The sequence below is a fragment of the Homo sapiens genome, chromosome 15 (assembly GCF_000001405.40).
Source record: "Homo sapiens chromosome 15, GRCh38.p14 Primary Assembly".
Lineage (NCBI taxonomy): Eukaryota > Metazoa > Chordata > Mammalia > Primates > Hominidae > Homo > Homo sapiens.
In genome coordinates, this window is record NC_000015.10 from 99,013,095 (window position 1) to 99,039,995 (window position 26,901).

The 26,901-nt window shown below is 45.8% G+C and overlaps 1 long non-coding RNA gene across 1 annotated transcript, besides 6 other annotated features; it reads left to right on the forward strand.

Moving 5' to 3' along the window:
- Window positions 1-1,609: 1,609 nt before the first annotated feature.
- LUNAR1 (leukemia-associated non-coding IGF1R activator RNA 1) lies at window positions 1,610-17,956 on the forward strand. The gene is made up of 4 exons (NR_126487.1): window positions 1,610-1,719; window positions 11,506-11,579; window positions 14,471-14,695; window positions 17,882-17,956. It is a non-coding gene; the product is annotated as a leukemia-associated non-coding IGF1R activator RNA 1 (long non-coding RNA).
- Window positions 1,719-1,818: an enhancer, noted in NCBI's record as "active region_10146". NCBI's record gives its function as "activates an Ori minimal core promoter by ATAC-STARR-seq in GM12878 lymphoblastoid cells {active_cell/tissue: GM12878}" and the evidence as "EXISTENCE:reporter gene assay evidence [ECO:0000049][PMID:35858748]".
- Window positions 1,979-2,058: a silencer, noted in NCBI's record as "silent region_6859". NCBI's record gives its function as "represses an Ori minimal core promoter by ATAC-STARR-seq in GM12878 lymphoblastoid cells {active_cell/tissue: GM12878}" and the evidence as "EXISTENCE:reporter gene assay evidence [ECO:0000049][PMID:35858748]".
- Window positions 2,184-2,959: an enhancer, noted in NCBI's record as "H3K27ac-H3K4me1 hESC enhancer chr15:99558507-99559282 (GRCh37/hg19 assembly coordinates)". NCBI's record gives its function as "activates a minimal SCP1, AML or CMV promoter by ChIP-STARR-seq in naive H9 embryonic stem cells {active_cell/tissue: H9 hESC(naive)}" and the evidence as "EXISTENCE:reporter gene assay evidence [ECO:0000049][PMID:30033119]".
- Window positions 2,279-2,348: a silencer, noted in NCBI's record as "silent region_6860". NCBI's record gives its function as "represses an Ori minimal core promoter by ATAC-STARR-seq in GM12878 lymphoblastoid cells {active_cell/tissue: GM12878}" and the evidence as "EXISTENCE:reporter gene assay evidence [ECO:0000049][PMID:35858748]".
- Window positions 2,419-2,478: a silencer, noted in NCBI's record as "silent region_6861". NCBI's record gives its function as "represses an Ori minimal core promoter by ATAC-STARR-seq in GM12878 lymphoblastoid cells {active_cell/tissue: GM12878}" and the evidence as "EXISTENCE:reporter gene assay evidence [ECO:0000049][PMID:35858748]".
- Window positions 2,669-2,798: an enhancer, noted in NCBI's record as "active region_10147". NCBI's record gives its function as "activates an Ori minimal core promoter by ATAC-STARR-seq in GM12878 lymphoblastoid cells {active_cell/tissue: GM12878}" and the evidence as "EXISTENCE:reporter gene assay evidence [ECO:0000049][PMID:35858748]".
- Window positions 17,957-26,901: the final 8,945 nt, after the last annotated feature.

Consider the following 26,901-nt stretch of genomic DNA (forward strand, 5'->3'; position numbering starts at 1 on the left):
ATTTTTTTTGTATTTTTAGTAGAGACGGGGTTTCACCGTGTTAGCCAGGATGGTCTCGATCTCCTGACCTCGTGATCCGCCCGCCTCGGCCTCCCAAAGTGCTGGGATTACAGGCATGAGCCACCGCGCCCGGCCCTATACATGTTATTTTTTAAAAACAAGAGAACTTTAAAAAATGTAACAAAAACGTACATCAAAAAATGTATACTTCAGACCTTGAAGAAATATATTCTACATTTTTACAGCAGACATTAATGAACCTTTAGTCCTGTGTGCCTGTGGCTGACTGCCACAATTACTACTTGAGACCGTCACTATGACAGTTATTACCGTTACTACTTGAGACCGTCACTACGACAGTTATTGTTACTACTTGAGACCGTCATTACAGGACTGAACGAAAGGACAAACGTAGAAATGATTAAAGAAATCTGTTTTAAAGGAAGGGGAAACCGGGAAGAAGGGAGCTCCCTGCTTCTAGTGAGCGAAGGCAGCCCCCCGAGCTTCCACAGCCCTTCGCATTCATTGGGAGAATGAGCAGGGAGGAGGCCCTAAGACTGGTCAGCTGTTTGATTATCACAAGTTCTCATTACTAACAGGCTTCAGTTGTGTCTAATCCTAAACACTTGCACCTGGGTGGTGACTGCCCTCAGCAGTCCTTCTGGGCGGCAGACACAGGTTGTCAGTTTGCCAACACCCTGCTCTCATGAGAAACAGTTTGCTGCTTACTCACGTGGCCTCCAGTGGTATACTGAGTTGATCACGACCCTCAATCTTTCGGCCCCTAAGAGCCGCAGGGGGGTGGGGAGGTGCCAGGCTGCTGAGGCCTTTGGGTTCCTAGGCTGCTGGCATTTTAAAACCACCACTGTATTCCACCTCCCCTTGGATAACACGCAGAAACAGGCCAAGAAGAAATTACCTGCTGTTGGTTATTTCTATTTCAAATGAATACTAGCTGAACATTTACTAAATGACATTGTCAGGTTTCAGCAAAAGCGGCCTGTAATAGTTGGGTGAGGACAGGGAAAGACTTTGAAATGGGCAGAAAAGATTACGGGATGTCCTGCAGGTTCAGTGTGCTTTGGCCTATTTTTCAACTGTCTAAATTTTCGCCGCCAAAGTCGCCAAAACCGCCTCCGCCGCAGCCTCCTCAAAAGCCGCCCCCGCCGCCGCTGCAGCCAAAGCCTCCTCCTCCTCCTCTTCCTTCTCTCTCCTCCCTCACCTCCTCCTTCCTTCTAGGAAGCTTACTGGAGTGAAACTTGAACGTTTTCAAAAAAGGTTAACGCAAATGATTCTTGTCCAAAGAAACAGAAATAATAGAAGTGTGAAGGGGCGTGGGAGGGGGTTGACATGTGCCGCGTTCAGGCCCGGGGCACCGGCGAGGGTGGGCGTGTGAGCGGGGGGTGGGGGCGTTAACGGTGTCTTCTCCCCACAAATGAAAGAGAAATAGTAAATTCTCCTGGGGTGGCGAATCAGGTGGGAAGGTGGAGCCCACAATCTTTGCAAACTCTCTGGGGAGCCAGGGGTTGGTAGCTGGGAAGACTGTTGGGTGGTGACCCTGGGGGAGGGGAAGGGGCCGGGGAGCGGGGAACGGGGGCAGCCCCTGGGGAGGAATGGGAGAGGGAGGAGGACGCCAGGGGCACAGGGACAGCCTCCGGGGCGGGGCGCGGCGCCAGCCTAGCCCGAGGATGGAGGCTGAGGCCGCCTGTTGAGTCACAGGTAAGGGGAGCCGCTCTGGCCAGGCCCAGGGCCGCCCTCGTTCCTCCCGGAGCGCAGCGACAGCTCCTCCCCGCGTCTCGGGTTTCAATGGCTCGACCTGCCGGAAAGCCCCGGGCCCGCGCGCTGCAACAGGATCCCGTAAACAGCGCGCGGCGGCCAGGGAAACTTTCCCCGGAGCCGGCGCCGGGGTGCGGCGAGCCGCGCACCTGTTGTTGCCTCGGGACTGAACTGCAGCGGCGGACCGGCGAGCGGGGGGCCTGGACGTCGAGTGCGGGGCCGGCGGGGCCCCCGCACTCACCCTCGGGAGCGTTTAAGTCCCTCCCGGGAAGAAGGGGGAGGAAATGCTCGGGGGAGCCGGAAGAGGCACTGCCAGCATCAACTCCACGCGCGCCCCGGCCTCGGCGCCCGGCCTCGGTCACGGCTTCTCTCGGAGGTCCCCCGGGGACACCGGGCGCCGGGACTGACCCGGGCTTGCTTCCCAGGCGCGGGAGCGTGGGGAAGTCCCTGCCTTCCCAGGGTCTCCGCTGTCTTGTCTGTGAAATGGGAACCGCACAGTGGGGGAGAATTCTTTACGGCCGCTCGGGTTACTGCCAGCGCCCCTTCCGCCCCCGCCACCTTCCCTGCGCCGGGACGCCTCGGCTGTGGTCGGGGGCGCAGAGGTGGAGCGGGTCGGGGTCGCCGGAGCCCGGGCTTCGTGCCATTTCTGGCCCTGGAGCGCGCGCGTCCCCGAGCCTGTCGCTTCCCGGGCCCCAGGGGGTGCCATGCTTGGCCCTATCTCCAGAAAACCAGGCAGAGCGGGTGCACCTTCTGAATCTGAAAGCACGTGAAACAAAACACCCCAAAGCCCACCAGCCCCTGAGGTGCTCGGATAGGAGCAAGAGTAGCGCCCTTGGATGCTGAGAAAGTGCCTCTTTACCTCCTGCCCCTTCCCTTCTCCTTGTGGGGACATGTGGCGGGGCCGGGTGTGAGAATGAGACCCGTTTCCCGAGGGAAGGAGGGCGCGGTGACCGGCTGTTCCGGCCCCTACACGTCCAGTCCGACCCGTTAGGCGCCCTGGCCGCAGGTGGCCCGCCCTCCCCAGCAGCAGCTCAGCCGCAGACTGGCCACTTTCTCCCGCCACACGTCTCGGTAGGGAACAAAAAATCTCATAAAGGCTCCTCTACCTTTTCTTGGAAGGCAACTTTAGAGGCGATTTACGCTCTTTTATGACTTGCTCTAAAAGCTGTGACTTAGAGTTGCTTTTCTGCTGATTTTAGGCGAGTTAAGGAGGGAAGGTAGCGATTAGCCAATTGTATGGATTAGTTACATTTTTCGTGGACGTTTTAGTTGGCCTAGAGATTGAGAAAGGGTTTTTTGTTTATTTGTGTGTTTGTTTTGAGACAGAGTCTCTGTCACCCAGGCTGGAGTGCAAAGGCGCAATCTCATCTCACTGAAACCTCCGCCCCGCCCCCACCCCCTCCCGGGTTGAAGCAATTCTCCTGCCTGAGCCCCTCGAGTAGCTGCTTCTACAGGCGCCCGTCACCATGCCCGGCTAATTTTTGTATTTTTAGTCGAAACGGGGTTTCACCTTGTTGGCCAGGCTGGTTTCGAACTCCTGACCTCAAGTGATCCGCCCGCCTAGGCCTCGCAAAGTGCTGGGATTATGGGCCTGAGCCACCATGCTCGGCCGAGAAAGGTTTTTTGTCTTTCGTTTTGGAAGGGGAGATACTATTTCTTTTTTGATTGTTTTCTCTATGCTTCTTTCTAGAAAGTTGGGTTTCACGGTTGTGGATGGCAAGTACTGTTTCCAGTTTACATGTTGGAGAACTAGGACGAGGAAAAAAAGTGATTTGCTCTTTGAATCTCATCTTCCTCATCTACAAAATAGAGGAGATTCTGCCCACTTAGGGGCTTATTGTAGAGCAGTATTACACCGAGGTGCTCCCAGAAGCTCCTCCCTGCCCCTAGGCCTGTGAGTGATTTCATGAGTCAGAGGGTTCCTTCCAAGGATTGCTTTAGAGATCTGTCTTACTCTACCCAGTCTCCTTGCATTTTAATGGGAAAAGTAATGGTAATTTCATCTGCTGGAAAAGTATAGTTGGCTTAAAACAGTTAAAGGATTTTCCTGTATTTATTTCAACTTTTGCTGTGGCTTTGATGGTTACTGATGGCCAAGATGACACACAGCAGTTGCACATTAATCATTTCAACATGTGCTACGTCCTAATGGACTGGAGTTTTACATAGCTGAACCATTGCCTGAACTTTGGTAGCCTCTTTCCAAAAAGAGCTTGAGCAAATCATGTCTACTTGGGAATCTGATTTCCTGTAGCAAGGAAGCAGGAAACTAAGAATTAGGCTTTCCGGTAAGGCTGTATCCCAGGTCCCGCGGCGCTCTAGTGCTGAAACACAGCGAAAGGCGCACGACATCCCCTGGGAGCTGTGCTGTCTGTATAGGGCTCCTCACTGTTGGTGTGTCTGGTTTCCAGGAGGCAGGCGTGCTGTCTGAAGAGGCTTTGGAAGTACCCCAAATAATTCAGTTCTTGACCTGCCCCAGGGCCACACACATGCATATGCTCTCTCTGTCTCTCTGTCTGTCTGTCTCTCTCTCTCTCTGTCTCTGGATTTCTCAGAGTGTGTATGTGTTTTTAATTTCCCCGATGCTGCAGACCTTCTTAGGTTCCACCAGACCATCTGTTGCTGTCATTTCAGCTTGGAGTGCAGTGGAAAGAAAAAAGAAAGACACAGCCCGATTCTGTTACCACCCTCATCCTTTACCTTGGCCTTCCAACATCTATAAGAACTTAACCTGCCTTGTAAGGATTAGATGAGACTGTGTGCATAAGAACCGACCGCCAGGCCCGTGGCAAAACTGAGAGTAGATTGTGGAGAAAGCCATTTGTTCTGACCTCCTCCCTTCTGTTTACATACAAAACCAAAGCCTTTGTGAGAATTGTGTATGTTATGACCTTCATTTAGGAAGTCAGTTAAGTGTTTGAATTTGGAAAAGTTGGGTGTTCTGACAATTTACACTGGTAATAAAGCAGAGAGGGGCCAGTGCGGTGGCTCAAGCCTGTAATCCCAGCACTTTGAGAGGCCAAAGTGGATGGATCACCTGACGTTAAGAGCTCGAGACCAGCCTGGACAACATGGTGAAATCCTGTCTCTACTAAAAATACAAAAATTAACCGGGCTTGGTGGCGGGTACCTGTAATCCCAGCTACTTGGGAGGCTGAGGCAGGAGAATCGCTTGAACCTGGGAGGCAGAGGTTGCAGTGAGCCGAGATGGCACCACTGCACTCTAGCCTGGGTGACAGAGCAAGACTCTGTCTCAAAAAAAAAAAAAAACAAAAAAAAACAGGGCTAGTAGACTAGAAAGATAGCAGGTGAGGAGGAAAATTGAGGGTGACTCAGAAGCTTGGGTTTGGGGACGGGGAACAGGGACAGTGGTGACACCCATAGAGGAACTGGCTCTCAGCGGGGGAAATGGTGCAATAGAGACATAGTGATTTCAGAGTGTTTCAGGACGTATACCTCCCATTGCAGATACGAAGAATTGGGCAAAAACTCTAACTCCCGAGCTTAGGGGGAATTTAAGTGCTAATTCTAGAAAAGCCAGTGCCTGCACCTGAGCTCTGAGGGACCCCCTGTTACTTAGTGGAGAGCGAGCAGAGCAGATGGAACCCCGGGAAAGGCTGTCTCATCCTTTGGAGCATGAGAGGAGAAGAGGAGCTGAGGACAGGGGCAGAAAGCTCAGAGAGTGAGAAGTGCTGAGGACCTGGTTTTGAGACAAGGCTCCAAAGGAGGAGAGACCAAAAAGGAAAGAGGCCAGGGGCGGGCCTGATGCTGAGGGAGAGTGAGACATGTGCAGGTTTGGAGAGGCCCAGAAAAAGATCAGGGAGGGGAGAGTTGGTATATCTCGGGACGTTGAACAGGGTTGGGCATAGCTGCCATTTCCAAAGGGTTTGTGGGAATAAGAAAAAGGAGGAGGCTGAGCTTGAAGCATTAGGGAAGGGGGCTTTTCCTTTGTGTTTTTGGGTGGGGGAGGCTTGAATACATTTTTAGTAAACTAACCTTTAGGAACAGTTTACTATATGCCACGTATGGTGCTAAGCCCTTTCCTACATTACCTTAAATGATTTTAACAATAAATAGTAAACATGGATCCAAAAGTTCCCCCTTATCCAGGGGAATATGTTCCAAGACCCCCAGTGGGTGCCTGAAACCGAGGACAGGACCGAACCCTGTATATACTAGGCATGAATTTCTCTTTCTTTCTTCACAGACAGCTTCATGGATAGAAATTTGTTTTTACTGCAGATCTTAGCAAGTTCATTATAGGATTTTTTCTTTCTTTCTTCCCTTACTAAATTGAGAACTTTCACCTTTTCGCTTAAAGAAAACACTTTACTAGCTGGGCATGGTGGCTCATGCCTGTAATCCCAGCACTTTGGGAGCCCGAGGTGGGCAGATCGCTTGAGCCCAGGAGTTCAAAACCAGCCTGGGCAACATGGCGAAACCCTGTCTCTACAAAAAAGTGCAAAAATTGGCCAGGTGTGGTGGTACACACCTGTAGTCCCAGCTACTTGGGAGGCTGAGGTGGGAGAATCACCTGAGCCCAGGGAGGTTGAGGCTGCAGTGATCTGTGATGGTGCCACGGCACTCCAGCCTGGACGACAGAGACTTTGTCTCAAAAAAAAAAAAATATATATATATATATATATACATATACATATATATACACACATATATGAAGGAAGGAAGGAAAGCAAGCAAGCATCACTTCACAGCATCTCTTTGGCATTTCTGAATTGCCAGCATCCCTACTTTTACGCTTTGGGGCAGTGATTAAATAAGAATTACTTGAACACAAGCACTGTGACGCCAGGACAATTAATCTGATCATTGAGATGGCTCCTCACTGACTAATAGACAAGGAGCATTGACAGCGTGGATCCGTTGGACAAAGGGATGATTCATGCCTCCGGTTGGACAGATCCAGATGCCTCGAGATTTCATCATGCTACTCAGAACAACATGCAATTAAAAACTTTCCAACTGTTCATTTCTAGAATTTTCCATTTAATATTTTCAGACTATGGCGGTCTGCAAATAATTGAAGCCTCGGAAAGCAAAACTGAGGATAAGGGGGGACTACTGTATTGTTATGATTCTCATTTCACTGGTGAGGAAGCTGAGGCACAGAGACGAAGTAACTTGCCTAAGGTCACCTGGATAGTAAGTGGCAGTGTGGCCATGGGGTTGGTGGCGGTTTGACTCCACCCAGAGAAAGGAATCTGTCATGAGGGTGAGGTTCAAAGTGGATGCTCCCTCCCCTCCAAAAAGTGGGGGTCCCCTCCAAAAAATTAGAGGCCCAGAAAGTAAATAATTTATGATTCAGTTTCTAAGGGGACTCCTTCAGAGATGACCTCATGTAGACATAAAATTTTAAAAAACCAGAGGCGGGTGGATCACTTGAGGCCAAGAGTTCGAGACCAGTCTGGCCAACATGGTGAAACTCCATCTCTACCAAAAAAAATACAAAATATAGCCGGGCACAGTGGCTCATACCTGTAATCTCACCTACTCGGGAGGCTGAGGCACGAGAATTGCTTGAACCTGGGAAGTGGAGGTTGTAGTGAGGCAAGATTGCACCACTGCACTCCAGCCTGGGTGACAGAGTGAGACCCCATCTCAAAAAATAACAAAAAAACTCTCCCAAACCAAATAGTCTTCAGCCATTTTGGATCTTCTCTAGTCCATGGTGTGTAAGTGTCTGTAGGGGAACGTGGACCCAGCACGTCTGGGATTTCAGTTCTTGGGGAGCAGGGTCTCGCTGGGGACCATGGGCAGGGACTGGGCTGGATATTTGGACTCATAACACTGCCACAGACTATTCCCATTCCTTCATCAGTGTGAAAGGAAAGGATGAGGTGGCCTCTGAAAGTCTACCTGGCCATGGAGGTTGTCAGTTACTTCTCACCCAAGCAGATAGTATAGTCTATCTGCTGTAGGAAAGTTTGCTAGGAGGGATTTTTTTGTGATTGGGTGTATCGACGAGCTGGCTTGCCACCACCTGGCCAGGGCTCTGGGCAGCCCATCCCCTAGAATGTCTTTCCAGGGGTCCTGTTCTTCCTGGGAGGGCCGGGTCCACAGTGAGTTCCCCTGATGGCCAAGGCGTCTGTATTTCCATCTTCTGTTGTGATTCCTTGCCATGTAGTGGCATCTACACTAGAGATGGCTCTTATCACCCCCTTTCTACACATCAGGGGCTGTAGGATATCTGTATGAAATGGGATCTCCACAGCATAAGATGGCTGGTGTCCTGTCCCTCTCCACATGGGTCCTGCCATGGCCTGGCAGGACAGAGTGAATGACCAGACTTGGATAGGGTGGTGGCAGGGCAGTGGATGCTGAGTGTTGTCGTTTTGAACTTTGAAGCCCTAGTCTGGCGGCCAGCTGACCGGCCTTTGCTGGGCTCCTGACATTGGCTGGCTGCTGGTTCCTCTGGTATTCAGATTTACAGCTCAGCCCTGGGAAATTCAGAGGACTGTAGAAAATGGCTGTTTTGTGGTATAGAAAGAAACTTTAGGGAAAAATGTAAATGCTTGGTCAGATGCCCCGGGGGTCACATGACTTTTAAAGTCAGGGTTGCTGGAAGGCTGGGGAGCAGTTGCAGGTCAGTGACACCTGCTGGACCTGAAGGTCTGGGACTTTGGCACACAACAGTGGTGGTTTAGAAATGCCATGCCTTCTAGTGTGCCCACCTGTGGTTGTTGGTTTGCTTTTCCTAGGCCAGTAGTCAGCAGGCTTGGGCAGAGGTGGGGCACACAGGCTGCGTGAATCCAAAGGCCACTGTTGAAATCCAGCCATGTCCCTCCACCCACCACTGCTCTTCTCCTTGTCTTTCTTTCCTGTCCCATTCTCTGGTCCACTCTGTGCCTTCTCACTTCAAACCTTTTGCATTCTATATCCCCAGGCAATGGCTTCATTTCCCTCCTAAGAGGAACCTGCTCAAACCAATGCCTATTAACTCTCAAGGCACAGAAAACTTTCCATGCTTCTTTGCTCTTCCAAAGCAGGGCAGCCACAGAACCACCAGGAACTGCCCTGAGGCTGAGGCCTGGGAGTGCCTGGGGAGGGCAAGAGGGGAACTCCTTGTGATGTGTGTGTGTGTGTGTGTATGTGTGTGTGGAGGAGAGGCTCCCATGGCCCAAACCCTCATAGACCACTTGGTTTCCTTTACTTGCAGAAATTAAGATAAATGTGTTTTTTTTGGAAACCGAGTCTGTAACCACAATTGGTAAATTCCATTAACATAGAGAAAGCTGCATTCATTTCTTCATTGCATTTTGCAATGAAGTTGATTTTGCGGAGTCTTCATTGCATAAAGCTCCTCCCAATACTGCCCCCCGTCCAGCTGTATTCTATTAGATGGGTACTTAGCAGATTATTTTTGTGTGTGCATGTATGTGGCAGAGTTGTATAATATTCAAACAGCGAATTATGGTTGGTTATTCATTTTGACCTTTATGTTTCCCAACAAGTGATTTGTGTGATACACGTATACTGCCCACATTTGACCTGCTGGAACATCTTGAAAAAAAAATTTTTTAAGCTATGCAGGAGGAAAGATATTGCTTTGTTTTTTCATAATATATGAATACTAAATTAAAATATTATTAAAATATTTAAAAATACTTGGGGTAAAAAAAAAATCTCTCCTCCAAAAGAAAAGTCTAGTTATTTGTTGATGAATATCTGCTTTTAAGAATAACACTTAAATATGGTTATTGGCAGATCATCTTCTCTTCATTTCTTGCCTTCTTTTATTTGTTTATTTATTTGACGGAGTCTTGCTCTGTCACCCAGGCTGGAGTGCATTGGTGCAATCTCGGCTCACTGCAACATCCGCCTCCCGGGTTTAAGTGATTTTTGTGCCTCAACCTCCCAAGCAGCTGGGATTACAGGTGCCCACCATGATGCCCAGCTAATACTTGTATTTTTAGTAGAGACAGAGTTTCACCATGTTGGCCAGGCTGGTCTTGAACTCTTGACCTCAAGCGATCCTCCTGCCTTGGCCTCCCAAAATGCTGGGATTACAGGCGTGAGCCACGGCGCCCTGCCTGTTTCTTGCCTTTTAAATGAGTTGAGATTCCCTTCACCTCTGCCCCAGTCCCATTTTTTTCTCTCTCCTTTGAAATTTAATATCTATGTTTCTATTCTTTTAGAAGCTAACTTAGAAATCTTAATATGCATGTTTCACTTTATTTTGAAATCAATGATTTTTAAAGCTTTTTCTGGAAAAATATAATGTTCTTAGAATGCTTATACTCCAATTACTCCTTCTCACCTTGTGTACTACTGTTTGTAGCACCTTAGTTCTGTTATGACTTTTTTAGCTCCTCAGATTAGATGCTTGTGTTCTGTATTCTCAGCATTTTAACTTAGATTTATTCACATGTTGATTTTGTTGTTGTTCCCATTTCTTCTTGACTGTCACCTCTTTTTTGTTGTTGTTGTTCGTTTAAATTCTTTTTTTTTTTTTTCTGAGATAGAGTCTCACTCTGTCACCCAGGCTGGAGTACAGTGACGTGATCCCGGCTCACTGCAACCTCCGCCTCCAGGGTTCAAGCAATTGTCTGCCTCAGCCTCCCTAGTAGCTGGAATTACAGGCACGCACCACCATGCCTGGCTAATGTTTGTATTTTTAGTAGAGATGGGGTTTCACCATGTTGGCCAGGCTGGTCTTGAACTCCTGACCTCGTGATCCACCTGCCTCAGCCTCCCAAAGTGCTGAGATTACAGGCATGAGCCACCGCACCTGGCCTTAAATTCTTTTTTCTTTATTTTTGTCTGACCAAGTTAACCCAAAGAACCCATCTTTGAGTTCTGAGATTGTTTCCTCAGCTTGGTGTTCTGCTGTTAATACTTCTGAGTGTATTATGAAATTCTTGCAGTGAGCTTTTTTTTTTTTTTTCAGCTCAATCAGTTTAGTTTGGTTTTCTTTCTTTCTTTCTTTCCTTTCTTTCTTCCTTTCTTGATGGAGTCTTACTCTGTCACCCAGGCTGGAATGCAGTGGTGCAACCTCGGCTTACTGCAACCTCCATCTCCTGGGTTCAAGCAATTCTCTGGCTTCAGCCTCTGGAGTAGCTGGGACTACAGGCACCTGCCACCACGCCTGGCTAATTTTTTGTATTTTTGGTAGAGACGGGGTTTCATGGTGTTAGCCAGGATGGTCTCTATCTCCTGACCTCATGATCCGCTCACCTCGGCCTCCCAAAGTGCTGGGATCACAGGCATGAGCCACCGCGCCCCCTTCCCTCCCCTCCCCTCCCTTCCCTTCCCCTTCCCTTCTCTTCCCTTCCCCTCCTTTCCTTTTTCTTTCTTTTATTTTCTAGTGTGGGTCCTAGGACTAAAGATCACATGTTGTCATGACTCCTGGAACTGCAAACTTGAAGGGGCACTGGGAGCCCAGGTGGGGGCAAACCAGGGAGGTACAGGCACCTGCCCAGACAGAAGGCCTCTCACTGCTCTCTGAAGCCTGGGCCAGCCAGGAGGGGAACCTGTGACCCACCCATAGTTCCATTACCAGGCTACAGCTCCTGGGCCATCCTCCTGGGGCTCCCTCTGCTTTCCACCCTCCCTGGAGGCTGATGCTGAAAGAGGGGGCCAGAGGCCTGGGTACTGATCTCCCTCACTCATGCACACGCCCTCAGCGGAGGGAGTGGGGCCGATAGGGACGATGATGTCCTCTGGATGCCGCCTTCCTGGATTGTTCATTTGGAACTTCTCTTCTATTTCTAGTTTCCCTGTGATGCTCATTTTAACCAGATGGCACTTGCTTAGCAGTTTGGAGGAGAAGACCTGTTCCCCTGCAGGTATGGGCCTTTGGGATCATTACCCTCTCCAGATCTGGCAGCTCCATCAGGTGGTGGCTCTTTCTCCAAACGTCCTTGACAGCTTTAGTGCTCCTCCTTCTACTGTGCCCTCTGGTGAGCAGGGGTTTTCTGCATCTGTGGTGACCATATTTCTGAACCCAGATGAATCATGGGTATGAGAATTCTTGGGGTGTTCAAGGGAACAAATATTTATTTATTTATTTATTGAGATAGGGTTGTACTCGGTCTGAACTCACCCAGGAGTTCAGTGGCATGATCGTGGCTCACTGCAGCCTCAACCCCTGGGCTCCAGCTATCCTCCCACCTCAGCCTCCCTAGTAGCTGGGACTAAAGGTACATACCACTATACCCAGCTAAATTTTTGTACTTTTTTTTTTTTAAGAGATGGGGTTTCACCATGTTGCCCAGGCTGGTCTCAAACACCAGGTCACAAACGATCTTGTGACCTTGGTGCCTGCCTTGGCCTCCCAGAGTGCTGGGACTGCAGTGGGAGCGGATCTTTGAAATTGTGGCTGCCCTGAGAAGCCAGGGGCACATGGCAGTTGTACCTCTGCTGGGGCATCCTGGGAGCTTTCCAGCAATGGGACTTCCCTTTTGGATATGGTCAGACTAGTTGCATGCCTTTTTATTTTGCTTGTTACCTAGGTTTCTCCCTCATGAAATTCACTTATTTCAGTTACCAAAAAGTACTTTGTAGATAATGATGGGGGCTTCTTACATTGATGGCCCAGAAAGGCTGGAAGATGTAGGTTAACCAGACGGCCCAGGCACAAAAGCCATATCCACACATTCTAAACAGGGAGAGTGCTGAGAGCCCACCCTTTGCTTTGTTTCTGGGAAAAAATATTGCCTCCTTCCCCTAAGAAACTGATCTGATTTTTCAGTGTGACCGTCAATGTTCATCTACCCTAAGGATACTCAACTCTATTTCATGTTGTTGTGCAAATAAAGCCTAAGGGTTGGTGAGAGGTTCTGGCTTCCCCTAAAATACTCACTCACTGGTTGTGAACTCTTTTGTGAGAGGTGGATTCTGAAAGTGAATGTGTGGCTCTTGAATACGGGGATCAACACCAGCTGTGTTGGCAGCAGAACTTGCAGGGTTTTAGGGAAAGAGATCTGGGGCAACAAAGGGAGGGTAGCTGGGCAGAGTGGGGGTGAGTGGGGTGGAGCTGGAATGGGGAAGGCCAAGGTAAAGATGGACCAAGAGCTGAGACTAGCTGAGGAGCCCTGGTCTGCATGGCTGGGGCAAGGCTGGCTCAATCTCAGCTCACTGCAACTTCCATCTCCTGGGTTCAAGCAATTCTCCTGCCTCATCCTCCTGAGTAGCTGGGACTACAGGTGCCTGCCCCCATGCCCCGCTAATTTTCGTATTTTTAGTAGAGACAGGTTTTCACCTCATTGGCCAGGATGGCCTTGATCACTTGGCATTAAGTGATCCACCCACCTCGGCCTCCCAAAGTGTTAGGATTACAGGCATGAGCCACCATGCCCAGCCCCTTGAACACAGGTCTTTAAATGGTTTATTTAACAAATTCTTACAAGAGTCTACAATGGGCTTGACTTACGTGGAGGAAAGATGCCTATTGTGGAGGAACCCTTACAGTGGACTTTTTTTTTTTTTTTGAGTCAGGGTCTCACTCTGTCACCCAGGGTGGAGTGCACTGGTGTGATCATGACTCACTGCAGCCTCGACCTCCTGGCTCAGGTGATCCTCCCACCTCAGCCTCCCAAGTAGCTGAGACCACAGGTGCACACCACCACGCCCAGCTAGTTTTTTTATTTTTTGTAGAAATGGGGTTTCTCCATGTTGCCTGGTCTGGTCTTGAACTCCTGGGCTCAAACGATCTGTCCATCTTGGCTTCCCAAAACCTGAAGCCAGGCCAGGTATGTTAATTTCCTCGGGCCCCCATGTCAAAATACCACAAACTGGGTGGCTTAAATGTTGATCATTTTATTGTCTCACCTTTCTTGAGTCAGAAGTCTGAGATTAATGTGTCAGTAGGGTTGGTTCCAGGCATTTGGAGGTGGGGCACTCATATTTCCTTCTGAGGGCTGTGCAGGAGAATCTGTTCCATGCCCCTCTCCTAACTGCTGTTTTGTTTTGTTTTGTTTTGTTTTGTTTCTCTTTCCTCCATCTTGTGGATGCAAAAATATAAACTGACCCAAGAGATTCATTATTTAGAAAGTGATGCCTTATACCCAGGATTTAATCAGTGGCTCTTCAGGTTGCCATGTAGAAAGCAGCTTTGCTGGCTGCCACTTTCGATCAAGGGCTAAACTCTGAGGGTGACATGCCACTAAGGAGCTGAACGGAGCCTGAGTCCTTGTAGCAGAGGCTGGTCTCCAGTCCTGTCTGTTCTTCTTCTTGGGCACACAGCTAGGCTACATTCCCTAGCCTTCCTTGGAGCTTAGAATAATTCCTAGCCAATAGCATTTGAGTATAATTGAGTGGGCCACCTCCAGATGTGGCCCATTACAAGTCACATTCTCTGCCTCCAACCCAGGTTACTTCAGGTAATAATCCTTCTGCCTAGAAAGGTTGGGCACCCTGATATGCACAAATCTGCATTAACTTCACAGATGACTCAATTAGCAGGTGATGACTTACTGGCAGTGTTCATTACGGTGGCCTTTCTAGTTGTCATCTTCCCAGATGACATTTTTAGAATTTCATCTCTACACTTTCCAAAAACACTACTTGACACCTGTGGGTTTTAAAATGAAATAACCTCAGATATGAAATAACCTTTCCCCAATCCATTCATTGTAGTTGGAAGCTGGTCTTACTAATGGCAGGGTGACCGTAACACTTGGTTATGAACCAGGGTATTGCCTCCAACCAAGCCTTAACAATCTCATCCTCCCTTTAGCCTTCCATGATTAGACCTCAACTCATGAGAACTCTTGCCTTGCTCACAAGTGGGAGTAAATGCTCATAGCTCTAGAAATCTCCCAGGAACCAGACATCACGGAAACTAGAAAGGCTAAGGGAGTCCAATCTTCCTCTAAATTGGCCAACAGTAGAGTGGTGGAAAGAGAACAAGCTGCAAACCAGACAGACCCAAGCTTGAATCTCACCTCTGCCAAGCTACCAGGTACGTGAGTTTTTCCAAGTTATATCACTCCCCTGATACTCAGGCGCCTCATTTGAAAGATGAAGCCTCTTCCTATCTTACAAGGATGAAGCATATGGAATGGAAAGCCCTCTGTCAATGTGGTTATCTTTGGAAGTGATTGCAGCTCTCTTGCTTCATTCTCGCACACCTCTGGAGCCCTTGGTCTCAGTTAGAATCCCAGCCCTGACACTTAATGAGGTGTGTAACTTGTCCAAATAATCTAACTTCTTTGTACTGTTTCCTCATCTTTAAAAAGAGGACAATAATAGCACTACCTACACAGCACTGTTGCAAGGATTTAGTGAGTTAAAGTGTGCGTAGTACATACAGCAGAGCGTGTAGAAGTATCCAGTGAACTGTTATTATCATATGAAGAGACTATTTGGTTGATCTCGTCAAGGACAGAAAGCTCCTTGGGGCTTGAAACCTTGCCTGTATACCAGTTACAGACTCCCTTTTGCTGTTAAACCCAGTCCTTAGGATGCTCAGTCAAATCCTGTGGACTTACTGGCTGTTCTGCTGACGTGGAAACAAGGTGGGGTGTGACCCATCTCCGGGCGAGTAAACTTTTGGGCACCTGACAGTGTCAGAGCCTCGGGTACCACCTGTAAATGGATGGAACCCTGTGTCTGTGCCCATAGCATTGGTCTGGTCTGTCATCAGAAAGGAATCTTGCTGTCAGATGATCACACATCCTCCCATAGTCTAGTTTAGTTTAGTTTAGTTTAGTTTAGTTTAGTTTAGTTTAGTTTAGTTTAGTTTAGTTTAGTTTTTTAAGACAGGGTCTCGCTCTGTCACCCAGGCTGGAGTGCAATGGCATGTTCATGGCTCACTGCAACCTTGACGTCCCAGGTTCAAGCGATTCTCTCACTTTTGTCTCCCAAGTAGCTGGAACTACAGGCATGCACCACCATGCCTGGCTAATTTAAACATTTTTTGTAGAGAAGGGGTTTACCAGTGTGGCCCACGCTGGTCTTGAACTCCTGGGCTCAAGCGATCCTCCTGCTTTGGCCTCCCAAATTGTTGGGATTATAGGCGTGAGCCACTGCACCTGGTCCCCCAGAAGCTAAAGGATGGTGCAGGTTCTGTTTTTAAATGTACCTGTTAAGTATGTATTAGCTCAAACAGAGTTTACCTGAGATGTGCATCTGGGGTCCACCCTCTTTGGCACTGTCCCTCATTTTCCTCCTCCAACATTCTCCCAATCTCTCTCTGTTAACCCCAACAACCTGCCACCCCTCCCTAACAAAGGATTCCCAGCTCAAGGCCAATTCCAATTGGATCGAGTTTTTCTTCTGCAGAAATTGTGGGGAGGTGGCTTCAGAGGCTCACAAGCAGAACCCCACCCAGACACATAAACTTTTCTTTGGCTGGTACCAACTCCTCTATTGCAGGGTATGGTCCAAGTAGGTTATACAAGTCTCTACCTCTTCTAGCTGAAGCCAACCTCCCAGGAAAAGGATGAGAGGAGAAAGCCATCCTGCCTGGTGTGTGGATAATACCACCACCAGAGTCTCCTGTAATTTTGATTCGATGGCATGCAGCTGCGTGACCTAAGGCACGTATCTCCATTCACAGGGTGTGGTCAGTACTCTGTGAATATCAGGTGTTCTGTCTGCCCTGTCTCCTGTCTTCCTGGAGCCTGCCCTTACCCAGTGAGTCCCTGGAGGGAACATTCTGGCATCTGGCTGTGAGCTGTCACAGACATGGGTTTCTTTCGGTTCCCAGAATGATGGGATGCCAGCCGCTGGCTGCCCCCAAGAAACTTGGGAGCAGGACAGGCTTGGCTGTCCCAGAGGAAGAGCCTGGCATTGGGCCAGGAGGCTCAGGAGGGAAGATGAGCTCATTCTGCCCAGCTCGGTTCTCCCGTATGCAGACCAGGTCATCACAGGGACCTGCCTCCACATTTGCATCCCCCACGGCATATTTTCCCAGCACATGCAGCATTGGGAACTTGAACGTCCCTCTGCTTTTCCTTGGTGAGACCCACCAGCCCCGCCTTAGGAAGGAGGCTGAACATTTGACGGAGCTTTCCTGTCACCTGTGAGCGACGTGCACGCTGCTTCCGAAGAAAGAGACATCCCCCTACTGTTTTCTCACAGTGGGATGATTCAACTTTTTCTTTCTCACAATCCCAGATAATCATATCTTCCCAGGTTTTGTCATCTTTGAGGACTACTCACTATCTAGTTATGAGTCAAACAAAACCCAATTTAACTGATAACTAACCAGCCATCACGTATCCCTGAAGATAAACCTGGTTTATCCTTTTTATACCCTCTGGCAGAGCAAAGGAACAAGGAGTTTGGGAGAGAAAAAAAAACACAACACTAGAAACAGCACTGACACAGGTCGTTAAATACAGATGTGACCAGCCTTGATTACAAGTGTTGTCATCCTCTTTTAACAGGGACCTACCCCGAACTTTCATGAACCCCTGGTAGCTGAATAGCAGCTTGTCTAAGCGAGGTGCAGGGATTTTGTCAAAGTCGGCCTCGGTGTTAAAGGCAGGGCCACCTACCATGAACTTCTCTCTGTGACTTTATTCTTTAGCAGTGCTCAAGTGTAAATAAACTTGTTTACCAGGATCAGAATGGCCATGTTAATGAAGTCTTATTTGTGTCACCACAATGACAAGTAATTTGTGCACAGCTGGACTCGGAGAGGGGACAAAACCAGAGAAATTGTATTTCTGTTCTGAAGTTTCCATACAGATGCCTTAGGCCAAAGTTAGTACAGCCAATATTTGCCTGTTTCTTTGGATTGTGTGTCCATGCTGGAGAAAAGCCTTGTTACTGTGCCCAGTGTGGTAAACGAAATTATATGTACGCAGTGAGAAGAAAAATGAAATAAGAAGCACTGATGAATGTACCCACGGGTGTGACCTTGGGGGCCAGTGTGTGGTTTTTATGAAATGAACGCATGAATACGAGGACCCTAATTATTGCTTTCAACGGACAAAGTATGGTGAATATATAGAGAACGTTGCTGTACAACACTGGCTGTGTCTCAAAGCGGCTTTAGAAGTAAATATAGAAATTCTTTGGTACATGGTATTGCATAGAAAAGTCATTAAGAAAAAAGCAAGACAATTTGTTAAGACCTTGTTAAGTGGAGCTGGGGGATGATTAATTTTGTTTGTTTGTTTTTGTTGTTCCCTGGTAGAGCTCAACAAACTACAGACCACGGGCCAAATCTGACCCACCGCTGCTTTTGTAAATAAAACTTTATTGGAAAAAAGCCACATTTGTGTATGTGTTGTCTGTGGCTGCTTTTGTGCTACCGAGACAGAGGTGAGTAGTCGCAACAGAGACCATATGGATCCACAAGACCTAAATTATTTTATTTATGTATTTATTTATTTTGTATTTATTTATTTATTTTTTTGAGACAGAGTCTCACTCTTGTCACCCAAGCTGGAGTGCAGTGGCATGATCTCAGCCCACTGCAACCTCTGCCTCCCAGGTTCAAGCGATTCTCCTCCCTCAGCCTCCTGAGGAGCTGGGATTACAGGCTCCGGACATCACGCCCAATTAATTTGTGTATTTTTCTAGGAGAGATGGCTTGTCACCATGTTGGCCAGGCTGGTCTCGAACTCCTGACCTCAGGTGATCCACCTGCCTCGGCCTCGCAAAGTGCTGGGATTGCAGGCGTGAGCTACCACGCCCGGCCCAAGATGTAAATTATTTACTATTTGGCCTTTTACGGAAAAAGTTCACCAGCACCTGTTCTTTTGGAAATAGTTATTTCAGAGAAGGTTTGCTCATGTGGAGTTAGTGTGGTGATGGCCAGATGGAGTAGAGAAAGAAAAAGTCACAAGATAATGGGAAGGAAGGCACAGTATTAGAGTATGTGCGGAGGAAATTGAGGCCTTCAATTAGGAGGTGAACAGGGAGAAGAGAGGGCTACGTGGGTTGTGATTCCATTCTCTAATAAGCAGTCTATGTGGAGTAAAAGTCTAAATGGAAATGCTCAGGTACAAAGGGAAATTACCATGTAGGTTTTCATAGAGGTATTAAACATTTTATCAGCTCATGGGATCTCTGACTCACAAATAAATCACGTCAAAATCAGAACTACAGTAGAGCAAAACATTTCTTTGGAAGCTCAACCGTGGAAGGGAAGGGTCCTGACCTCCTCTTGCAGTTGGGTTCTCTGGCTTTTAAAGCTTTGTCTGAAGGCCATCACCCACATTTGCACTGTTGCTGCAAACCGAGAGAAAAGAAGCATGGAGAATTTTTCTCCTGCCACAGGGATCTATTGCTCAATAGAGTTTATGACATTAGGCCTGTGCCTACCTGTTTAATAATTCTGAGTCTGGGTTCAGTAGCCCAGTGGGTTATAAGGAAGGTACTGGCTGTGGATTTTACTGGAGATGGGGATCTTTCAATCCCAAAGGTAGGGCTGTGAGATTGCTCTGAGTAGACACTAAATTATTAGACTATTAATACAATAATAGCTCATTAGCCCAGATAGCCCAATGTCTGGGCCTTTTTTTTTTTTTTTTTTTTTTGAGACAGAGTTTTGCTCTTGTCGCCCAGGCTGTAGTGCAGTGGCGCAGTCTCGACTCACTGCAACCTCCACCTCCCAGGTTCAAGCGATTCTCCTGCCTCAGCCTCCCGAGCAGCTGGGATTACAGGCGACCACCACCAGGCCCAGCTAATTTTTTGTATTTTTAGTAGAGATGGGGTTTTGCCATGTTGGGCAGGCTGGTCTCGAACTCCTGACCTCAGGTGATCTGCCCGCCTCAGCCTCCCAAAGTGCTGGGATTACAGGCGTGAGCCACCACACCCGACCTGTCTCATCCCTTTTAGTCATGCAAAAGGTGACTTCCAGTTCAAAAAGTCCTAGCAGAACTTTTCTTGCTGCCTTGCCTTTCTGCTGTCTTGGTGAGAATAGGGCCTGTGTACACAGCCAGGCAGTGTGGCTCCAGAGTCTATGCTTTGAAAACTTTTTTTTAGTGGATCTCAGATTCATAGAATTAGATTAATTACAATCTTCTCATGCATGGGCTCTCTTTTACTTAGTGAAGTTACAAATCATTTAATATACACACACACACATACACACACATAATCTTAGTTTAGGCTTCCACAGAAGCAGACTCTGAGACAGGGATTTGAGTGCAGATGGTTTACTTGGGAGGTGAAGGGAAATCAGCAAGAAAGGGGGGAAGTGAGACGCTAAAAAGAAGGCAGCAAATACAGAGTACCTTCCTCAGGAGCAGCCACAGGGGGCAACCAGAACTCAGTCCTGTTGGCAAACTCTGGGAAACATCTGCTTCAGAATTGCCCAGTGCAGCCCAGGTGCGAGGGAGTTGGGGTATTTATACACCAACCCCAGTCTCTTGCTGGTTGACAGATTCTGGGGAATGAAGGGAAAACCTTCATGGACAAAGATACAGATCCCAGTAGTTTGGGATCATCTGGGGTACATGAAAAAGTGGAATCCAAAGCACTCTTTCTTTCTTTTTTTTTTCGAGACAGAGTTTTGCTCTTGTTGCCCAGGCTGGAGTGCAATGGCACGATCTTGGCTCACCACAACCTCCGCCTCCCAGGTTCAAGCAATTCTCCTGCCTCAGCTTCCCAAGTAGCTGGGATTACAGGCATGCACCACTACGCCTGGCTAATTTTGTATTTTTAGTAGAGATGGGGTTTCTCCACGTTCGTCAGGCTTGAACTCCCAACCTCAGGTGATCTGCCCACCTTGGCCTTCCAAAGTACTGGGATTACAGGCGTGATCCACCACGCCTAGCCCAGCACTATTTCTTGATCTTTTTAATTAAATCATTGCCACCCCTAAGTAGCTTTTTTTTTTTTTTTTTTTTTTTTTGAGATGGAGTCTCACTCTGTCACCCAGGCTGGAGTGCAGTGGCACTATCTCAGCTCGCTGCAACATCTGCCTCCTGGGTTAAAGCGATTCTCCTGCTTCAGACTCCCAGGTAGCTGGGATTACAGGCACTATCTGCTAAATTCTTTTGTATATTCAGTTCATCCTCTATCAGCCCTGGGAGGTCTACATTATTTATTAGCTTCACTTTACACAGAAGGAATTAGCACTTAAGAGGTCATGTGATCACTCCCCCAAAATCTCACAGAGACTTAATTCTGGGCCCAAGTCATTCATCTTTTCATGAATCAAGTAGCAACTGAGTATTAGTAGGTGCCAGGCAGGGTGCTGGTGCCTGTGAATTAAGTGAAGAACAGAACAGACTGGACTTTGCTCTCAAGAAGTTTAGAATCTACTGGAGAGACAGACATTAAAAGAACAATTGTAATGCTTTTTTTTGTTCTTGTTTTGTTTTTTTTTTCTTGAGACGGAGTCTTACTCTGTTGCCCAGGCTGGAGTGCAGAGGCATGATCTCGGCTCACTGCAACCTCCGCCTCCCAGATTTTAGGCGATTCTCCTTCCTCAGTCTCCTGAGAAGCTGGGACTACAGCCACACACCATCACGCCTGGCTAATTTTTTTATTTTTAGTAGGGACAGGGTTTCACCACGTTGGCCAGGCTGGTCTTGAACTCCTGACCTCAGGTGATCCACATGCCTCAGCCTCCGAAAGTGCTAGGATTACAGGCATGAGCCACTGCACCCAGCCCCTAAGTAGCTTTTTTGAACATTTTCTTTCTAATTGCTTCTCCACTCCCCATGAAATTTTAGTACCACAGATATACTGTAGATCTGTTTATGTTCTGTGTCCCTTTGGAGGGACCCAAACCATTAAAATATGCAAATTTTTTTGTCCCCACCGTCCCACCCCGGATCGATTTTTTTTTTACCTGTTAGCAGTGTTGCCCCTGTTGAGGAGGTATGGCCCTAGTGCCATGGGCAGGACAGTACCTGATGCATGTGTATAGCAGGCTCCAAACCACCCTGCCCTTATCTCTCTATACCTGTTATTTGGGGCAACTCATTGGTGCTGGAGTGGTGACTCCACAGGAACAGAAAGAAAAACACACTGCATCAGTTCATTCTTCTAGTCTGTGGAGTGTTGGGAGTAGGAGAAGAGAGAGGTGGGGCAGATGGAAACAAATGGTTATCTTTGATCATCTATCACAGCAGAAATGAAGCTGTGGTTTTCATTATTTTCATGGATTCCTATGCAGTTCTGATTTCCCCAAAAGGAGCCCCAGCATAAAGCAATGAGGCCCCGCTTGCTTGGTATTTCGCTGCTGTTGAAATCAGATGCTAGAGAGGATGTGAACATCCCTCTCTGCGCCTGAGTCCCACCACAATCTCGCACCAATGTCAAGCTAGCTTCTCATGTTCCCGAGTTGAAAACAGATGGTGGCTGACACCTTTCTCAAGAATCCTGGAAACCCACCAGTCTACCCACTGAGGCACGAAAAAAAAAAGGGATCCGAAAATGTGGTGTAGAAAGAAAAATGACTGAAGTAGGATGAGCCCAAGAGAAGCCTGTCCTGCTCAGTGTGATGGAGCAGTGTTCTCTAAGCGTTCTCACAAGCCAGAAATTTGGGAGCAGGGGCAGGTGACTTGCAACCCCTTACGTGAGATGTTGCTGCAGCCAGGAGTCTAGGACCAAAGAGCATTCCGACCCAGCCTGGGCACTGGGAAACTCTTTTGCCCAAAGACTCTGGAGATGAGTTAGAGCAATGCATTCCAAATTTTTATGCTTGCCTTAAAGCAACAGAATTCCTTCCAGGTTCTAAATGGAAGCTTGAGTTGTGAAAACTAGATCATAGAAAAAGTGAAGAGAAGAAAAGGAAAATCAATGCAATATGGCATACCTACATTTTCCTTGAGAAAGCAAAGCACACCACAAACCCATGTCCACTCTTAAGCACTGAAGATCAAGCAAGGACATTTTCCAGGCTTGTTAGGATAAGAAAAAAAAGTCTTGTTTCCTTGTTAGGATAATAAAAAAGTCTAAGCAAAGAATGTCTTTGAGGGGAAAGGAAAATCTCAGCTTTAATCCCGAAGTAACACCTTGGTAAGATGTATATGCCTGCCTTTATGCTTAATGATTTCAGATTTTTTTAAATAAATAGGGCAGTAAGTGTAGCATATAATCCAGAACCTATGCCAAATTCCTTCCCTCTTTTATTTAACTTGAGACATAATAGCTATATTACATTTGTCCTGTAACAAACTCATCTTTCAGCCTCAGTAAGAATTTTGTGGCTGGCCACCTAAAAATTACTAGAAATGAAACAACTGTAGCAGAGTTGCTCTAATTTGTTTTTTTCTTTTTAGACGCAGACTCGCTCTGTCACCAGGCTGGAGTGCAATGGCGCCATCTGGGCTCACTGCAACCTCCAACTCCCTGGTTCAAACAGTTCTCCTTCCTCAGCCTCCTGAGTAGCTGGAATTACAGGCACATGCCACCATGCCCAGCTAATTTTTGTATTTTTAGTAGAGATGAGGTTTCATCATGTTGGCCAGGATGGTCTCGAACTCCCGACCTCAGGTGATCCACCCGCCTTGGCCTCCCAAAGTGCTGGGATTACAGGCATGAGCCACTGAGCCCAGCCCAAAGAAAGGAAGTTTAAATGAGCTGACCAGGATCTCCTGCAGTCAAGGAAAGAGCTGGGATCAGGAACTACTAAACATTTCTGACAGCATATCTGTTTACTGGAGCAGGTTTTAATAGAATCATAGGATCCCTCAGTTAACAGAACCCAATTTCAGAAAGGGACGCATGAGATGATCTTTTCGGATTTGGAAGAAAATATTACATTTTTTGTTTTGATTTTAAGTAAAATATGAAGAAGAAATTCATTTTTACTACTATCTAATACGTAGGTAATGTCATTGCTCTCCTTTGGTCAAACGTCTCTGGTGTGTAAGGTACCAGGAATCCTGGGGAAAGAGAGGGAGGTCTCATCATAATACATTGCTGTCTGAGTGTATGAAATAAAGCAGCTTCACAAATTATAGTACTTAGTTTTAAGTAAACTAACTCTAACAAAATGGACAAGTGGAACCTTTGGTGTACAAGTGATGAACTAGGTTACTCAGAGTAACTCTCTGCTGAAAACATATAGAAATGCTGGACACAATATATTTTTTAAACTTTTCTTAAAATATCAAGAAATTGGCAACATAGTTAGGAATTCCTAGGTAATTGAAAATTGATGGAAAATTGAGAAGCTTAAGAACCTTTGTTCTCAGGGCACTTGCTGATCTAGGCACATAGGAACATTAGATTTTCCAGGGTCATGGGGAAAGAGGAATAGAAATCAAAACCATAAGAAGCCATCTCCCAAATAAGCTGGGACCTCAAAGGGATACGCTCTCCAGGTATAGGTGATCCAGAAGTGAACCAATGGGTTGAATGAATTTGAAGCTCAAAGTATCACCTTTTGAGAGCACTAAACCCCTGCTAGCTGTGAACCTCATTTGAAAGAAACTCAGACTGTAGTGATTTGAGATACTCAACAGAAACAAACACAAATCCTCTTGTGAGAGTACTTCCTTCTAGATCTCAAATTATTCCTACAAATAGTTTTTAGTGACAAAAAGCAGCATACACTAAAAATAATCAAGCACATAGGAAAATAGACATTGTGAATGAGAAAATAAGAAACAATACAAAATAGAAACATTTAAAGACTTCATATTTCAGAACTTCATATTTCAGATCTGTCAAACACAGATCATAAACAAATATGCTTCCTACATTTAAAGATTAAAGACAGCTTTAAAAATGTATATAGGGAATAGGAAACTATAGAGTATGATAGAAGATTTGAAAAAGAACTAAATAAAATTTCTACAAATGAAAAGTTCAAGAATTGAAATGAAGAACTCAATAGATGCATGTAAAAACATTCTAGACATAGCCAAAGAAAGAATTTAATAAGATGGAAGATATGCTGGAAGACATTTTCCAGGATGCAGAACAAAAAGATGAACATACAGAACAGAAGTTACAAGACATGGAAGATAAACAGAGAAGATCTAACATACGTTTAAGCAGAGTCCCTGAAGAGAGAAGGGAGAGAATGATACAGAGGCATTATTTTAAAAGATTATGGCTGATAATTCAATAATGAATCATTCCATAATGAATTTAACAATGAATTCAAAGCAAGATAAGTAAATGAAAATCTAGATACATTGTAGTGAAACATCAGCACACCTAAAATAAATAGAAAGTCATAAAGGAGTCAGAGTAAAAAGATGTACTTCCTTTAGTGGAGTGACAGACTGACAACTAACTTATCAGCTGTAAGAATGGAAGTCATAAGATAGTGGAATGATATCTTCAGTAGAATGAAAAAAATGGCTGCCAACCAAGGATTCTATACTTAAAGACAACATTTTTCAAGTATAAGAGCAAAACAAACAAACAAAAATCTGCTTTCAGAAACAAAAACTGTGACTTCACCACTGGTGGACTTTTATTAAAAAAAAAATTCTAAAGGCAGAAAGAAATTTGTCCCAGAAAGAAGATAAAGAAGGAATGAAGAAGCAAGAAAGAATATATAGCCAATTCTAAATAAACATTGACTGTATAAAATAATCATAGTTTCTTGTGAGGTTAAAAGAAGAGAGAGAGATGAGGGGAATTGTAGTGGTGACAGCTCTTTTCTTGCACTGAATCTCCACATATTAGCAAACAACAATTACAAAAAACTGTGACAAGATATCTTCAAAAACCCTAAAATACAAGTGGATATGTGGACAAACCACCAATAACCTCAAGATCTTTATGATTTTGGAATCTGTGTGGAAAGGGGAAAAAAGAAGCAACAGAGTGGCATTTGATATACCTGAGAATAGCAGAACCCCAGTAGGAATTTGCTGGAAAACATTGAGAACAGCAGTTGAATCTAGGAGGGGCAAATACTGGGCAATGATATATATGGATCATGAACCCTAAAAGCTAGCTGTCTAGGGCTTCCTTCTGAGACACAGTCCCAATGAGGAGAAAGTGCTGGAAGTAGAGTTAAAACTGAGCAGGATGAAGACAATATAGATGAAGGAAAGAGAAGGTCCAGTTCAAAATAGGAGAAGGAACCAGAGACGGGAAATCTCAGAAAGTAAGCCATTATATTTTTAATGTACATTGCACAAAAACAACAGAAGAAGACACTTTATGTTAGAAAATTTTCCTGAACCCCACTTCATTCTAAAGTCAAGAATATGAATTTCACCTAAAACTAAGGTCAAATTCTGTACAAAGTTAGAATTTTTTAAAAAGAGAATAAGGATCAAAAATAACAAAACACACAAAAGTCATGCCCACAAAATAGACCAAAAAATGTAATTTACTATTTCAAAACAATTAAAAACATTAAGAAAATTATAAAAGACATGGAAATACATCAGCGTTATAAACACTTAGAAATGAAGTGAGAGAAATAATTAAGAAGCAAAAGACAAATTCACTTCAGAAATGAAAACTAAACTAGATGGAACATGGGAAAGAATAAACAACAAATAATGCCTTAAGAGGAATATAAGATTTTTAAAAAGTTTTCAAACAAAAAAGAAATGAAGAAAGGGATAAAGAGGATTTAGGAGAAAGTAACAGTTGCAAATGATAGCCAAGGATTATATGCCTTCTTCAAGAAAACCTGAGAAAGCAAACCAAGAGAAGGACCAAAAGAAATATTAATACTATAATTAACCCAAGAAAACGTGCCTAAAATTGTAATTAAAGGATTTGAAATTACATGTTCAGGAGGACACTATGTACTTATGAATATTGACAAAAAGTTATTAACACCTGGAGATATTCTAGTATAACTACTGTACTTTAGAGATGTTACTTGGTTGGGAGGCTGAGGCAGGAGAATCACTTGAAGCCAGGAGTTCGAGACCAGCCTGGGCAATATAGCAAGACCCAATCTCTAAAATAAATAAATAATAAAAATAAAAGTTATTTGGGCATAAAAAGAGAGAGAGAATGGAACTTGAATAGAAAAGAATAATAGATCATCATTAGACTTTTTGAAAGCAGTACTTTATGCCAGAAAAAAAAAATAGTCACATATTTAAGAAAAGGTGCATCCAGGATTTTATATTGCAGAAAAATTGGATTTCAAATATTAAAAACAAACTATTATCAACAAGAAAGATCTAAGGGAATATTGTTTCCATGAGTCTAAGAAGTTTAGCAGAGAACAAAACTTCAGACAACCAAAATGACCCTTACCGATGTGAAGGCAGATGGCAAGGATTAAATTTAACTTGTAGAATTAAGACTGAATAGTGGCTA